The 16102-nt window shown below is 55.4% G+C and overlaps 2 protein-coding genes across 7 annotated transcripts in view, besides 3 other annotated features; both read right to left on the bottom strand.

Annotated features, from left to right (window-relative positions):
* The window catches only part of PRR5 (proline rich 5), a 68931-nt gene that overhangs the window by 5857 nt on the left and 46972 nt on the right, over positions 1-16102 (bottom strand). For all 6 annotated transcript variants that reach the window (NM_001017528.3, NM_001017529.3, NM_001198721.2 and 3 more), the window contains 3 exons: positions 6533-6581; positions 5191-5248; positions 4-95 (listed from right to left, as the gene is read on the bottom strand). In NM_001017528.3, the coding sequence (NP_001017528.1) occupies positions 4-95; positions 5191-5248; positions 6533-6581 (199 nt within the window). The remainder of the gene's footprint in view (positions 1-3; positions 96-5190; positions 5249-6532; positions 6582-16102) is intronic.
* PRR5-ARHGAP8 (PRR5-ARHGAP8 readthrough) overlaps positions 1-16102 on the bottom strand; it is a 160581-nt gene that overhangs the window by 130960 nt on the left and 13519 nt on the right. Inside the window, exons 3-4 of the mRNA NM_181334.6 lie at positions 6533-6581; positions 5191-5248 (exon numbers count right to left, since the gene is read on the bottom strand). Coding sequence (NP_851851.3) covers positions 5191-5248; positions 6533-6581 — 107 coding nt within the window. The remainder of the gene's footprint in view (positions 1-5190; positions 5249-6532; positions 6582-16102) is intronic.
* Positions 6639-7140: an enhancer, noted in NCBI's record as "H3K4me1 hESC enhancer chr22:45120565-45121066 (GRCh37/hg19 assembly coordinates)". NCBI's record gives its function as "activates a minimal SCP1, AML or CMV promoter by ChIP-STARR-seq in primed H9 embryonic stem cells {active_cell/tissue: H9 hESC(primed)}" and the evidence as "EXISTENCE:reporter gene assay evidence [ECO:0000049][PMID:30033119]".
* Positions 7722-8016: an enhancer, noted in NCBI's record as "tiled region #7347; K562 Activating DNase unmatched - State 9:DNaseU". NCBI's record gives its function as "activates a minimal TATA promoter and a strong SV40 promoter by Sharpr-MPRA in K562 cells {active_cell/tissue: K562}" and the evidence as "EXISTENCE:reporter gene assay evidence [ECO:0000049][PMID:27701403]".
* Positions 8858-9694: an enhancer, noted in NCBI's record as "H3K4me1 hESC enhancer chr22:45118011-45118847 (GRCh37/hg19 assembly coordinates)". NCBI's record gives its function as "activates a minimal SCP1, AML or CMV promoter by ChIP-STARR-seq in primed H9 embryonic stem cells {active_cell/tissue: H9 hESC(primed)}" and the evidence as "EXISTENCE:reporter gene assay evidence [ECO:0000049][PMID:30033119]".

The following is a 16102-nucleotide window of genomic DNA, read 5'->3' as shown; positions in this document are numbered from 1 at the left end:
CACCTGCACCGGGTAGAAGATGGCCTGCAGCATGGGCAGCACGTCACTGAAGAAGAAGTCCCAGGTCTCTGCCAGTGAGTCCAGCAGCTTCTGTCCTGTGGGCATGGGGGCCATCACCACTGGGCCTGACTGGCGCGGGCAGATGCCTCCACTCACCCAGGATGGGTCATCAGAGGATGCGGGAGTGGAGGGCCTGGGCTCAGGCCCCTGGCAGCACCTGCCCAAGGTCGATGTCCAGCTCCACAGCTCAGCTGTTCTATGGCCCTGGGCCCACTGCTTAACCTCAGTCTTCCATTTATAAAATGTGGCAGTAAAGGGATTGGCCTCCCAGAGCTGAGGGCATGAAATGAGCCTAAGGCACAGGGAACTTGGCTCAGGGTCTGCTCCTGGCAGATGACAGCTGCCAATTCCCAGGCCTTTGTCACATACCAGACCCACACAAGTGAGAGCCACACAGGTATACACCTGGCACAGGTGAGACGTTCACAGGTGAGACCCCTACACGTACGCCTGACACAGGTGAGACCCGCACAGGTAGGTACACTCGGCACAGGTGAGACCTGCATCAGGAGACCTGCACAGGTAAGACCCACACAGGTACACCTGGCACAGGTGAGACCTACACAGGTGAGACCCACGCAGGTATGCCTGGCACAAGTGAGACCCACACAGGTGTGCCTGGCACAGCAGTTTCAACTCACATCCTAGTCTCATCAGATCCTCCTAACAACCCGGCTAAGCAGTTGATTTCTTCTACCCACCGACCTCCTCCCTCCTTCCCCCACACTATCTGCCCCTCCAACAAACACAGAACACCTACTGTGTGCTGGCGCTGATGCTGGGCACTGGGGACCCAGCTGAGCCCCAAACAGCTGCCCATCCATCACATGACAGGGAAGTGGGACACTGAGCAGGATCATAAGGGCAGTAGCCAGGGGTGATCGACCCCCCACCAAGCAGACAGAGGCTGAGCCTCCGAGGAAAGGGTGCACCACAGTCAGTGGCCCAGAGGACCCAGGGCCAGGCCAGCTCTGCCTGTGGTCAGGTCTGGGGATCCACGGAGACCCCTTCCAATAGCAGCACCACGTCGAAGGAAGAAGAGGGTGCAGAGGGTCAGGCAGGGAGGGCTTCCTGGAGGAAGAGCATCCAAGCTGGCTATAGGAGCTGGGCTTGCCAGACGTAGTGGTATGGGGACACATCTTGACAGGTGAGTCTCTGAAACAGATACGTAGGTAGCAGACATCGGGACCAGCTCTGTAGGATTTCTGCTGGCCTTGAGAGGAACGGTGCCATGCACCAGGTGAGTGACCCTTGTGGGACGGGGACAGCTGCCCAAGCTGGCTCTGGGTTCCAGTGGGAGAGGCAACGTGAAGAACCCTTGGCCTTTCTGCCTGGACTGAGCGGAGCTGGGATGAGGGCTGCTGGGTCCAGGGATGCACAGTCCAAGGACGTGTCCCCAAGGCCTCTGCTGTCCCCTGGAAGCCAGACGAACAACTGGCGAGAGAGATCTTGGTGTGGGCGCCTCTGAGTGAAGAGGGAAGCGTTGCCGGCTGTCTCTCAGGCTGCGCCCCCGGCCAGAACTGCTTTGAGGTTTCCATGGGAATGCGGAGGCTGAACAGGGACCTTTGCCTTTTTCTCACTCTCTGGGCCCTGCCCCCACTCCCGGAAGCCCCCAGCTTCATGTAGGTTCGAGGGCACTAGGAGTGGGACCCCGCCAGGGGCAGCCCTGGGGGCTGGGGCCGAGCTGGACTGGGTCCCATCTTTGGCTCCCAGCCCAGTGGCCAGCCCTCTGCCCACCCGGGTAGCCCAAACCTGGCTCTGAGGGTGATGGGGGCCAGCAGGAATGCCCCGGACGGATGGATGCTCACCGCCCCGCCGAACTGTGCCCACACACAAAGTCCCTTCAGTCCCCCTCCGCCGCGGCAGGAAGAAAGGCAGCTCAGTTCCCGGGCTGGCCGGGGGGTGGCTCTGGGCACCGGCCAGGCCTGCGTTCTGCTCAGCGCAGGCTGTTCTCCAGCCCACGGGGCGGAAATGCTGCGGAAAGCAGATGTTGTAAAACAGAATCCAGGCCCCAGCTGGAGCCACACGGTGACGAGAGGCCAGGAAGGGCAGCCTCGCGGCTGTTGGGGCTCTCTGCCGGGGCCTGTCCTGTGGGGGCCCCTCTGTGGGGCAGTAGGGTTAGTCGGAGGCAGGTATGGGGCGACCCCAGGAAGTTCCTCCAGGCGGACTCAGTGGCATCCTCTATGAAAGGGGCGTGATACACGTCCCCACGTGGGCAGGTCGAAAGCTGAGATGAAACAGCACTGGGCGTTTGCTGCCGGCAGGACGGGGCCGGGTGTGTGCGCGCCGTACCTTGGCTCCAGCCTGGCAGTAGCAGGGGCTGATGCAGGCGAGCGGCCCCGCAGTAGCCTTGGCTCCGTGCTGGCTCCCACTCTGGGGTTCTCGCTGTGGGCGCAGGCTGGTGTCCGTCTTTCCTTTCTTTATCCGAGTGCTGAGGGCCCTGTGCAGGCCCTGCAAACCAACAACCCTGTTTCAGCCCGTCGGGAGACTCAGGAACAGTGAGGAGCGCAGGGCAGTGACAAAAGCCACGCGCTGGGTGGACCAGGTCAAGGGTGTCTGGCGCGGGGACGGCCGAGGCACAGGCATGGAGGCAAGCGTGTAAGGCAGCACAGCTGGGTCACGTGACCCATACCGGGTTTGGATTCCCTGGTGGATGAGCGACGGCAGATCCCAGGGCCCAGCAGAGGACCAGGAGCTCCCGCCCAGAGTTCCCAAGTTTCTGGCTTCCAAGGAGTTGCTTGGCTGCAGCTGGAGCCGATTCCCTTAAGCCACACACAGGCCATCAAACTACAACCCCGGCCGCGGTCCAGTCTTCCTCCCCTTCCTAGGGAGGCAGCCCTCCACCTCAAGGCCACTCCTCCAGGCTCTCCGCTTCCAGGACCGGCTCTGCCCAGGGGCTGAAGTCCAAGGCCTCCCTGGAGGCTGAGAAGGGGCAGGGGGCAAGGTCCTGGGGCTTCCCCACAGGGGGCCATCACCCACCTCTGGTAGAGGCTCTGTAGGGACAGCTGCAAGGAGCAGGCTCAAAGTGAAGAGCTCCCAGTGGAACCCAAGCAGGGGTAGGGAGCAGGAAGGGGGAGGCCCCTGAGGCCGCCCATCAGGATGTGGAGGTGGCTATGTCCCCACTGCATGGGGCCAAAAGGGACCACAAGTTCCCCTGAACAGACCACACTTTGAGGCCCTACTCAAGGGCCACTGCCTCCATGCAGCCCTCTCTGACTGCCAAGGTGGAATGAACCCTTTCTTCCCCAGGACACTCCTTCACAATGACATTAATCACACTCAACTGTCACCCTCGGGTCCGTGTCTGTGTCCCCAATTGGGCTGTGAGTCCCTGAAGGGCAGGGCCAGGTTCTCCTCCATCTCTGGGCTCCCAGAGGTCACCTGGGCCTGACATGTAGAGAACACTCAAGTGGACAGAGCCTGTTCAACCCCACATTGCTAAGACAGGGGTGCTGAGGCTGGAGAGGAAACCCTGTGTCTGCAGCTACATGGGAACTGGAGGCCAGGGCCTCAGACTCCCAGCGTAGAGCCCAGTGCCTGTCCCTGAGACCTGGGGAGGCCAGGAAGGGCTGGCGAGGCAGAAGAGGATGCTGGGCCTCCCAGGGCTGTCCTCTGCCCCTTCTGCTGGGCAGGCACCCCTGCTGGGAGGCCTGGCAGACCTGGCTGTCCCACGCAGAGCTCCTTTCAAGCCACACAAAACTCCCTTCTCCGAGAGCCCCGGCTCCCCTAGGCCAGATCTGGTGGGAGGTACAGGCACCGCCAGAATGTGCCGCATCAAGCGAGGGGCGTGGGTGGCCATCTTCGTCAGGTGCCAAATGCTCACAGCTCTGTCCTGCCAGTCTAGATGTTGCCTCCTCCAGGAAGCCTTCCCAGAACCCCCATGTCTCCCCGACGGTCTGATGGTTTTCATGGCCTCTCTTTGTGTTCCTGTCTTGGCTGGCCCCACCCAACATGTTCAGTGGACGTGAGGAAGGACCATGACACGCAGCTCCAAGGTCCCCTGGAACATGCCAGGCCTCCGGGCCTGTGTCCTTCTCTGTGGAGTGGGCTAGTAGCTCTTTTTCCCAGGGTCAGAGGGAGACCTGGAGGAGGAGCCTGGGGCAGCAGAGTGAAGAGTATGGGTTCGGGACCCGGTGGCCTGCTTGGCACCCTGGCCTTGCCACGGTGCAGCTGTGTGGCCTGGGCAGGACACCGTGCCTCACTTTCCCCATTCATTCAGTGCTAACAACGGTGGCTTCTTCACAGGGTTGTGGAAATCAAATGAGTTAGTAGATGTGAAACACTCGGGGCAGTCCAGCACGGAGGGACGCACACACCCGGTGCCTAGTGCACAGGTGCTCAACACACGGGTACAGCGCAGGCCCGATCCCAGCACAGCCCGAGCAAAGCAGCATCCGTGGGAACTGAGTGGACCCCCTCACCTGACCCCGCTCCCAGGGCAGCTCGCTCCTGCAAGGATGCGCACGCTGCTGCTGCTGCCCGAGGCTCTCGGCCACGGGAAGCCCAACCTGCACAGTGAGGCCAGCGGGGACCTCCGGGCCGTGAGAAGGGCAAAGGGTGTGTGCCCTAAAGTCAGGCAGACCTGGGTTTGAGTCCCGCCCCCACCCCTGATGTGCACTGTAGCCTTGGGCAAATCACTTATCATCACTGTACTCTCCCACTCAGGAACAATAACCTGAAGGTCCCAGTGGGTGGCTGTGAGCCTCGACAGAGAAAATTCAGCTGAGTCCCCCACCCTGTCCCCTCCTCTGTGAGTATCGGTGACCTCAGCCCTAACCGACTTCTCCTCTGACCCCCAAAGACCAGGACAGGGGCTCTCCCAGGCTGCGGGGACAGAGCTCACTAGGGCCAGAAAGTCCCGTGGGCAGGGAGGGGAAGCAGGGGGCTTTTCCCCGATGTCTCATAGCCCTCCTGGGCTCCAGCAAGTTCGGGGGGCAGACCCTCTCCCAGGGTTCCCTCTGGGTAAGGATCTCGGCCCTGCTGCCCTAAGGCTATACGTGTTCCTTCCAAGCCCTCCGGACCAGAGAGCCACACCTTGCACCCAGAGGCCCCCAGCACGAGGCCCAGCAGTCCAGCAGCCAGCCAGGACCCAGCATGGCCCAGAGTGGCCGCCAAGGGGCCCACACTCACCCTCATAGAAGCGAATCTTGTCCCGAAGGATCACCATGCCTTTTGTCAGCAGCTGGTTCTGAAGGTAAACACAGAGGGGCTGTCACCGCCCTTGTGGATGCCCGGGGGTGTCCTGGCCAGCAGGGCCCCCGAGAGTCCATCCACCAGTGAGCAGCCAAGGCTTAAAGGGGGAGGAGACTCACTGAGGTCCCACAGTCCACCTGCTGCAGGGCCTGAGCATCAGTTCATCCAGGAGGGTAACTGACCCAACCCCGGGTTGTCACGAGACAGGAGGTGGTCACACGGACATCCCGAGAGGTGGGCAGGGCCTAGAGCTCCTTGCACTGGGCTCAGCTGGGCAGGCAGAAGCCTGGCATGTCCCACAGTGAAGAAAGGACTTTGCATCAAGAGGTGACTCTGATTACCAAAGGCCGGGCCCGTCAGCTGCCATCCTACCTCAGGGACCCTGGACGCACTGCCTGGGGTGGCTCGGCCAAGAACCACGCTGTGTGGTCTCAGCAACCCAAGCACCCGCCAATGAAAGCATGGACCACAAAATGCAGCCCATCTCCACACAAAGAAATGAAGCACTGGCTTGTGCTCCAATGAGAAAGAACCTGATGCTAAGAGAAAGAGTCCAGACAAAAGTCCGCAGGCCGTGTTATGCCACCAATATGAAATGTACAGAATTGGTCGGGCGCGGTGGCTCACGCCTGTAATCCCAGCACTTTGGGAGGCTGAGGCGGGCAGATCACCTCGAGGTCAGGAGTTTGAGACCAGCCTGGCCAACATGGTGAAATCCTGTCTCTACAAAAATACAAAAATTAGCTGGGCAAGATGGTGGGTACCTGTAATCCCAGCTCCTGGGGAGGCTGAAACAGGGGAATCGCTTGAACCCGGGAGGCAGAGGTTGCAGTGAGCTGAGATCGCGCCACTGCACTCCAGCCTGGACAACAGAGCAAGACTCCATCTCAACAACAACAACAACAACAACAAAACAAAAGACAAAAAACAAAAATTAGCCAGGCGTGATGGTGGGCACCTGTAATCCCAGCTAATCAGGAGGCTAAGGTGTGAGAATCACTTGAAGCCAGGAGGTGGAGGTTGCGGTGAGCTGGGATCACGCCATTGCACTCCAGCCTGGATGACAGAGTGAGACTATCTCAAAAAAGAATTCACCTCATCTTATCATTTAACCTCCACAACATTCCACGTGGCTAGATAAGGAACGAGGCAGGTCCTTGGAACTGCAGGCAGACAGTGGGGGAGCCGGCGCTCCACACCCCCGGGGGCAGGTGAGCCCCTGTGCTTTCTGGCTGGCTCATGAGGCAGGCCCAGCCTGGCTGGAGCAAGACCCACCTACCTGCAGGTACTCCGTGAAGAAGGACCCCAGCTCTGTCTTCAACAGCTGCCTGTGGGTGGGAGGTGAGACAAGAGTGAGTCCCAGACCACACGGCACTGGCATGGGGGACCCACGGACTGGGGTGGGGCCTCCTGGGCAGGGGGAGATCAGCATGCTCAGCCAGCCCAAAAACATGGGTAGTGGACAGGTCCCACCTGTCCAGACCTGCAGGGGCTGGGTCGGCCACACAACCGGGGCCTCCATGGTCCGCAGTGGCAGCTCATCAACTAGATCCCTGCACTCATGTCATAGCAGAGGAAGCCAAGGGGTCCTCAGAGGGAAGACAGTGGCCTCTGCGTCTCACACCTTCTGGAGAGACACCTGGCAGGGCTGGGCCTGCAACACTTGGTTTGCTCCTGCCTTCCACCTGTCCAAATCCCGGATGCCACGGGCTCCTCCTCTCTCCGCCTGCAGAGCTTCTTCCCAAGTGTTTACTCTTTATTCCAGAGAAGCTCATTCAGTCTTCACCAACCCAGCCGCAGGCATTCACCGGGGTTCCCCTTTTATTACAGGGGAGGCAAGAGAGGCTCGCAGAGGTCAAGACACCAGACCAGGTCCACATGGGACACGCCAGAGCTGAGATCTGAACCTCCACCTTGGCACTCAACACTGACAATTCCTCCTTCCCTCCCTACATACCTCCAGGGCCTGAGAGAATGGGAGCACCACATTCCACACCAGCCAGGCTGAAAGTACACAGGCACTGTCAGCGCTGAGGCCCCAGATATGACCTCCCAACAGTCTTCTGAACCAAATACATCAGAAATCTTACTTTTTAGGTTGCTATTCCCTTTAGGAAAACTTTTTTTTTTTCTTTTTGAGACGAAGTTTTGCTTTGTCACCCAGGCTGGAGTACAGTGGCACAATCTCAACCTAGAGGTTGCGGTGAACCCGGGTTCAAGCGATTCTCCTGCCTCAGCCTCCTGAGTAGCTGGGACTACAGGCATGCGCCACCAGGCCGAGTTAATTTTTGTATTTTTAGTAGAGACGGGGTTTCACCATGTTGGCCAGGCTGGTCTCGAACTCCTGACCTCAAGTGATCCACCCGCCTTGGCCTCCCAAAGTGTTGGGATTACAGGTATGAGCCACCACACCCGGCCTAGGAAAACTTTCTAATCAGTCCTGAATTATAGGCAGTCCTCTCTTTGCATGGTTCTGATACATACAAGTTTCAGTTATCCTGGTTAAGTACAAGCTCTGCTGCCCGCTCTCCAGTCCACAAATCAAAATGTAGATAACAGATGTGTACAATGATCACTGACCAATTGCAACACTTCTTTCAAAGTCAGTCTCTGATTGGTCCCTAAGTATCTGTCAGCAGTTCATGCACAGACAGCAAATTGTGACCTGTGTTGCCTCCTTGTCTGCCAGTGTGAAACCCATGTGGCATTCTGTAAAAATGGATACAAGAAAAAGCAACTGGCCAACACAGATGGAAGTGCAGCACATCAATGAAAAATGATCATGTTCTGAACGGGCAAACACTGCTCAAAGTACTATGTTCCCACTGTTTTATTTTTTATTTTTATTTTTGGAGATGGAATCTCACTCTGTCACCCAGGCTGGAGTGCAGTGGTGCGATCTTGGCTCACTGCAACCTCCACCTCCCAGGTTCAAGTGAATCTCCTGCCTCAGCCTCCCCAGTAGCTGGGATTACAGGCGCATACCATCACGCCCAGCTAATTTTTGTATTTTTAGTAGAGACAGGGTTTCACCATGTTGGCCAGGCTGGTCTCAAACTCCTGACCTGAGGTGATCCACCTGCCTCGGACTCCCAAAGTGCTGGGATTACAGGCGTGAGCCACTGCACCTGGCCCCAATGTTTTAAATTATAGTGCACTAAATATTCATTTTACTATACAATCTTTTTCATTTCTCTGTATGGTTATAACCAAACAGTAAAATACGTTGGTTATGTTTATAACCAATAGACCAACAGTACAACAGCTTTCAATGTTCTGACAAGCTTTGGCCAGGTGTAGTAGCTCATGCCTGTAATCCCATCACTTTGGGAGGCCAAGGTGGGCAGATCACCTGAGGTCCAAAGTTCGAAACCAGCCTGGCCAACATGGTGACACCCCATCTACTAAAAATGCAAAAATTAGCTGGGCGTGGTGGTGGGCACCTATAATCTCAGCTCCTCGGGAGTCTGAGACAGAAGAATTGCTTGAACTCGGGAGGCGGAGGTTGCAGCGGGCTGAGATCGCACCACTGCACTCCAGCCTGGGTGACAGAGCGAGTCTCTGTCTCAAAAAAAAAAAAAAAGAAAAGTTTTTAAAGATTATGGAACAATTGTCATTTTCCCCGTGGTTTACTAGGATCACACAGTTTCAATGTGTAGTCATTTTGGAAGCCCTGCACTGTGGTGCAAAGAGAGGACTGGCTGGAGTTTTCAAAAGCAACATGCTGGGAAAAAAAAGCCCAAATAAGGCTTGCTTCCTGCAAGCTGCCTACCCTTTTCACTGTGCCCCTGGCCACCAGGAGTCAGAGGGTGACAAAGTCTCCTGTTCCTGCTCCGGTCAGCTCTCTTAACCATGGATCTGGGGGTGCTGGTGGAGATGCAATAAACATACCATCCCCCCAAACACAGTGACTGCATGATCTAGTCCTCAGAGGCCCTTTTGGGGTGGCTGTACTTTTTATTCCTGGAGAAGCTGTAGGCTGGACCCCAGTTCAGGGCTGGCTGCCCCCACCATGCCATGGGGTGTGGAATCTGGGAGCTAAGTGAAGCCCAGAGACGTGGCCTGGGCTGAGGGAACCGGCACTCAGGTGCTGGGATGGAGGTGGCTCCTGCTTCTGCACCTGGCCATCACCGGAGCCTGGGGCTCGGGCAGTACTGCAGGTGCACGGAAGCACAGGGCAAAATACTAACGTTCCTGCACAGCTCTGTGGGCAGTGCTGAGGCAGGCCAGTCACAGGCCTCCGTTCACAGCCACCTGACAGGTGATGTTAGTGTCCCCATTTCATGGATGGGGAAGCTGAGGTTCAGGCTAACAGCGCAGCTGAGTGGTTCCAGCCCTGGAGCCTGGCCCTGCTCCTGGCCAGCAGCTTCCCTTAGTAACAGGACTGGCGTTGAGGCCCAACCTCCTCCCTTGCACAACTGTGAAATCAGCGCAGTGGCATTAACAAGGCTGAGGTTCACCCTGTGATCACAGACAATGGTGCCCCGAGGCAGCCCCCGCCCCAGCAGTCCCCCCAACCTTCTCCCACTGTCCCCGTGACCTGTCCTCTGGTCCGCCAAGGACCAAGCTGTGACCTCAACCTCATGGAGTGATCCCCACGTCCACGCAGCATCTGTCTCAAAGTTACCGCAGGCATTACTTGCAGGGCCACTTTCAGTGATGCCAGAGAGCAGGGCACCAGGTGAGAAGGGAGGGTCTTCATAGAAGGCATGAGGCTGAACCCGAGGGCGTCTGCTCAGCAAGTCAGGGCTGGAGGGCAGGCCCCGGTGCTTGCTAGCACGCCATGTGACTCTGGACGAGACCCCTCCCCTGTCTGGGCCTCGGCACCCTTGTCTGTGGCCTGAGATCCATGTGAACATACAGCAGGAGGTGAGGCAGGAGAGTAGGGTCTGGAGGCAGGGAATCTAAGGCCAATTCACACTGACTTCCTAGAACTAAATCCAAAGGAAGACCCCAATGTTCCATGCCCAAGTAACAAAAGGACCGGAGGCTACTTCCTTTGCAACCCCTCTTTTCTACACGGCAGATGAAAAACTGCAAGAACCTCTGATTCGTCCCCTACCACAATTGGTTGGGCCAAGTCTTCATTTGCATAGGAGTATAACTTTGTAACTTCAGCTTCTGATGGGTCACTTTCCACAACCAATCGGATGTTTGCATAGGGTGCTTCACTTCCAGGTTCTGATTGGTCGCTTTCTGCAACCAATCACACTGATTGCGGGCCACTACTTCATTTACATAGGGTGTACACCAAGTAATGGGAAACCTCTAGAGGGTATTTCAACCCCAGAAAATTCTGTAACCTGGCCCTTGAGCTGCTTGCCTGCTCCCACCCTGGGGAGTGTGCTTTCGTTTTCAATAAATCTCTGCTTTTGTTCCTTAATTCTTTCCTTGCTTTGTTTGTGTGTTTTGTTCAATTCTTTGTTCAAAGCGCCAAGAACCTGGACACCCTCCACCGGTAACAGAGGGTCCCGGGGGTCAACTGGGATCAGGAGCAGCTGTAGCTCAGAAAAGCCTTTCTGGTCTTCTCCCTGCCCATGATGAGTGCGGGTGTGAATGCTGACGAAGGAATAAGTGAACAAATGAATGCCTCCTTCAGGACCAAATGGCCCCTTGGCTCACAATGGCTGGAAATCCCGGAGAGGCCCTAATGAAGCCCTACCTGGGGTGGCTCCAACCCACTGGCCACCTCTCCGGCTCCCCTGGCCTCCTCTGACATTTCCTCTCACCCAACAGCTCACAATGAATGAACTCAGCGCACTCCTTCTCTGGGCAGGGGTGAGGGGCATCACTGGCTGAGCATCCCCCCATTTGCACGGTGCCCACCAACTCTCCCGGACCCCAATGAGAGCACAGACACGGCCTCAGATCTGAACTGACCACAGGCTGAGGATGAGTGGCCAGTTCAGGACCCACTGCCCCTGGCCAGGAATGCTGCCGAAGGCCTCGTCCACCTCCCAAGCGTGTAAGTAGTGGGTGCTCACAATGAATGCTAAACGGACGGGCAACTTCCACTTGGCAGCTGCCAGCACCTGGGTTCCCCTCATTCCTGACCTGTGAGACCCCTTCCAGGCAGAGGAGGGGTCGCACACCAACTCCAACCATGCAAAAGCCCTACAAGATGGGAACCATGTTCACTCCAGAGATGGGGAGACTGAGGCTCTGGAAGCGCACTGTTGAAGTCAAAGGCTGGATCAGGGAACCCAAGGTTGGAGCCCTAGTCCTGCAGATGAAAAACAGACATCCTTTCTACAGAACACGAAGAGAGGGCCTGCCCAGTCCGGGATTGTGGGAAACTTCAAAGTCAAGTAGCTTAAATCCAAACAGCACCTCTGGCCTGCACGTGAGACCTGCTGCTGACAGGCTGCGGGCACGGCCACCTGGCCTGAGCTGAGCTGAGCACGGGCTCCCTGACAGTGGGAGGGGACCACTCCCTAAGGGGAACCCCAAGCCAGCCCCAGGCATGCTAGGAATAGAGGACACCATGCCAGGGAGGGAGAAGAGGGGGTGTGGATGTCCTCAAATCACAGGAGGGGAGCCCAGGGGACGAAGCTGCAGCAAATCCCAGGCCCTAGGGGCTAGCAGGCCACAGAGGGGACAGCCTGGGTATACCTGGGATGTCAGCCTCAAGAGAGACAGCTGTGGGAAGGGTCTGCAGGGCCAGAAAGCAGAGGCTGGGACATCCCATCCAGGGGGTTTGCTGCTTCCTGGGAGCAGCTAGGCCAGCAGGACTTGGTGCTGGAGTTGGGCAGGGACAGATCATCTGTGACTTGGCCAGGAGCCAGCAGGAGAGGCCTTGCAGGGAGCAGGCGGCCCCAGCTCCTGTCCATGAACTCCTGCGCTAACCTGAGGACTCAGATGCACGCTTCTCATGGTCAAAAGCAGAACAGTATGAGCCACATGGGACGCTAGAAGAGAGACTGCCCCAGACAGACACCCTGGCTGTATTCTGCACGGACAACACAGGCGGCACATAGCAGCCCAGGCCACTAAGCACAGGGGAAACGGACCTCACGGCTGAGCACAACGAGGGCGCCCAGGGCCTCAGATTCTGTCTAAGAGGGTGGGTCACATAACAATGACATGTCAGGGATAATGTCATCCAAAGCCATCAAGATAAAAAGAGGTTTGGGTCCTTAAATCCGCAGCCCTCTGGACAGAGAGTGACTTATTTGTTAAGATTTTTTTCTTGTTTTCTCAGCCAGGTGCAGCGGCTCACGCCTATAATCCCAACACTGAGGCAGGAGGATTGCTTGAGCCCAGGAGTTTGAGACCAGCTTGGGCAACAGAGCAAGACCTCATCTCTACAAAAAATAAAAAAAAAATTAGCTAGGCTTGGTGCTGGACGCCTCTAGTCCCAGCTACTCAGGAGGCTGAGGTGGGAGGATCACTTGAGCCCACAAGGTGCAGGCGGCAGTGAGCTATGTTCATGCCACTGCTCTTCAGCAAGTCGAGACCTAGTCTCTTAAAAAAAAAAAAAAAGATTATGCAAAGTGTGTTCATTTCTGTACCTTAGGAGGAAGAAAGGTGATCAAAGGACGGGATCAAGAAAATAGCTAGACAACTGGACATTATACAAATAAAAACTTTTTGTGCTTCAAAGGACACAGAAATAAAGTGAAATGACAGCTCACAGAATGGGAGGAAAGATTTACAAACCAGTATCTAACAGACTCTAGATCCACAATATATAAAGAACTCTCATAGCTCAATAATACAAAGACAAATAACCCAACTGAAAAATGGGCAAGGGATGGGAACAGACAGTTCTCCAAAGAAGATATCTAAATGACCAATAAACACCTGAAAAGATGCTCAACATCATCAGTCATCAGGGAAATGCAAATTAAAACCACAAACAGATGCCACTTCTCGGAATGAAAGCACTGGAAATTAACATGTGTTGGTGAGAATGTGGACAAACTGAACTCTCCTGCCCTGCTTATACGCTGCTAAGTGGGACAGTGAAATGGTACAGCCACTGTGGGAAAGGAAAGAGTACCTCAAAGAGATAACCACAGAGTCATCATGGGACCCAGCAATTCCACTGCTAGATATATGAACCTAAGAGAAATGAGGCCAGTTGCGGTGGCTCAGGCCTGTAACCCCAGCACTTTGGGAGGCTGAGGCTGGCAGATCACTTGAGGTCAGGAGTTCAAGGCCAGCCTGGCCAACATGGTGAAACCCTGTCTCTACTAAAAATATAAAAATTAGCCAGGCGTGGTCATGCACACCTGTAATCCCAGCTACTCGGGAGGCTGAGGCACAAGAATCGCTTGAACCCGGGAGGCGGAGGTTGCAGTGAGCCAAGATCGCCCCACTGCACTCCAGTCTGGGTGACAGATGAAGACTCAGTCTCAAAAAAAAAAAAAAAAAAAAGAGAGATGAAAACGTGCATCCACACAAATTCTTGCACACAGATGTTCACAGCAGCGTTATTCATCACAGCCAAAAGGTAGAAAGAACCCACGTCCATCAGCCGAGGTGGATGCGATATGCTGTGCTTTCCATACACACGATAGAATATGATATGGCATGAAAAGAAGCGAAGCAGGCAGGCTGGGTGCAACGGCTCACGCCTGTAATCCCAGCACTCTGGGAGGCCGAGGCAGGTGGATCACCTGAGGTCGGGAGTTCAAGACCAGCCTGACCAACATGGACAAACCCCGTCTCTACTAAAAATACAAAATTAGCCGGTCGTGGTGGCACATGCCTGTAATCCCAGCTACTCAGGAAGCCGAGGCAGGAGAATCCTTGAACCTGGGAGGTGGAGGTTGTGGTGAGCCGAGATCACGCCATTGCACTCTAGCCTGGGCAACAAGAGTGAAACTCCGTCTCAAAAAAAAAAAAAAAAGCAAAGCAGGGGTAAGTACTCCTCCCTGAGCGGACCTCAAGAGCACTGCACTGAGTGAGAGAAGCCAGGCGTGAAGGGCTACCTGCTCTACCTCCATTGATATGGAATGTCCAGAATAGGCACATCCACAGACAGAAAGCTGTCTGTGGTCAATGCCAGGGCTGGGGAAAGGGTAATGAGGAGGGCTGCTAAAGCCTTCTTGCTGGGGTGATGAAAATCTCCTGGATACCGGGCATGGTGGCTCACGCCTGGAATCCCAGCACTTTGGGAGGCTGAGACGGGTGGATCATCTGAGGTCAGGAGTTTGAGACCGGCCTGGCCAACATGGTGAAACCCCGTCTCTACTAAAAATATAAAAATTAGCCAGGCGTGGTGATGTGTGCCTGTAATCCCAGCTACTCAGGAGGCCGAGGCAGGAGAATCGCTTGAACCCGGGAGGCGGAGGTCGCAGTGAGCTGAGATCGCACCACTGCACTCCAGCCTGGGCAACAACAGTGAAACTACGTCTCAAAAAAAAAAAAAAAAAAAGGGTAAGGGGGACCATTTGGAGGCTGGTGTAATCAATGTCTCTAGTAACAGATTCTCTCATGGGATCAAAGCTAGTGACCAATTATGGATTTAATGTATAATTAAAATCCTTTCATTTTTTTTTCTTTTGAGATGGGGTCTTACTCAGTTACCCAGGCTGAAGTGCAGTGACACAGTCTTGACACACTGCAACCTCCTCCTCCGGGCTCACATGATTCTCATGCCTCAGCCTCCTGAGTAGCTGGTACTACAGGTGCCTGCCACCATGCCCAGCTAATTTTATGTATCTTTGGTAGAGACAGGGTTTCACCATGTTGCCCAGGCTGGTTTTGAACTCCTGAACGCAAGCAATCCTCCTGCCTCGGCCTCCCAAAGTGCTGGGATTACAGGGTGAGCCACTGTGCCCAGGCTAATGTCACTGAGTTTAATGTGGCCACACCGTCCAGAAGAGCTGGGGTAGGGCAGAAGCTGAACAACCCAGTGGCCCTGATGTCAGGGGCTTGAGCTCCAGCTCTATTCATTATTAGCCCTGTGACCTCAAGCAACCCACGTCAACCACTCTCTGCCTCAGTCTCCTCACCTGTAAAATGGAGATAACAAGGCATCTACTCCTCAGGGCTGCAGTGACGAGTGGATGAGTATTTTTTTAATTTACTTTTAAAAAACGTTAACACATATTAATAGAGAAGGTGTCTTGTCATGTTCAGCCCAGGCTGGTCTCAAACTCCTGGCCTCTAGCGATCCCCCTACCTTGGCTTCCCAATGTGCTGAAATTACGGGCAAGAGCCACTACAGGTTTGGTGTGAAAAACTCCTGGTCTAAGGCTGGCACAGAGCAAGGCTTCAGTAAAAAGACCCTGCTATTATTCCTTAAACATTCCAGCACTTCATTCTGAACTGACTAAAAAGAAGTTGCCCCAAATAACCTAACTGTCCAGGGGCTCAAAGTTTAACACAGCCCCCGATTTTTACCCATTTCTTGGGTAGAATCCTGGGGCTGACGAGGGAAGCCTGGGGCCCAGGGCAGCTTCTCTGTGCCCCCACCCCCAGCACACACTCCTGGGGAGGCTGCCTGCTCTGTGTCAGCCCTGTGGAGAGGCAGCAGCAAGAATCAGCCAATTACCAATGCTGTTCACACCAAGGAGGGCAGGGGAGAAGGATGTCCAAAGCTGGGGACTGTGCCTGCTGCTGGATTTGTAAATTTAACAGTAACTCCTTTTGTTGTTGTTTAAATACCCAGCTGGCCGGGCATGGTGGCTCACACCTGTAATTCTAACACTTTGAGAGGCTGGAGGTGGGAGGATGGCTTGAGCCCAGGAGTTCGAGACCAGCCTGGGTAGTGAGACTCCCATCTCTGCAAAAAATAAAAAATTAGCCGGGTGTGGTGGTACCTACCTGTAGTCCCAGCCACTCAGGAGGCTGAGGTGGGAGGGTTGCTTCAGCCCAGGAGGCAGAGGTTGCAGTGAGC

The sequence above is a fragment of the Homo sapiens genome, chromosome 22, assembly GCF_000001405.40.
Source record: "Homo sapiens chromosome 22, GRCh38.p14 Primary Assembly".
Classification (NCBI taxonomy): Eukaryota; Metazoa; Chordata; class Mammalia; order Primates; family Hominidae; genus Homo; species Homo sapiens.
This window is presented reverse-complemented; position numbering and strand designations above follow the sequence as displayed.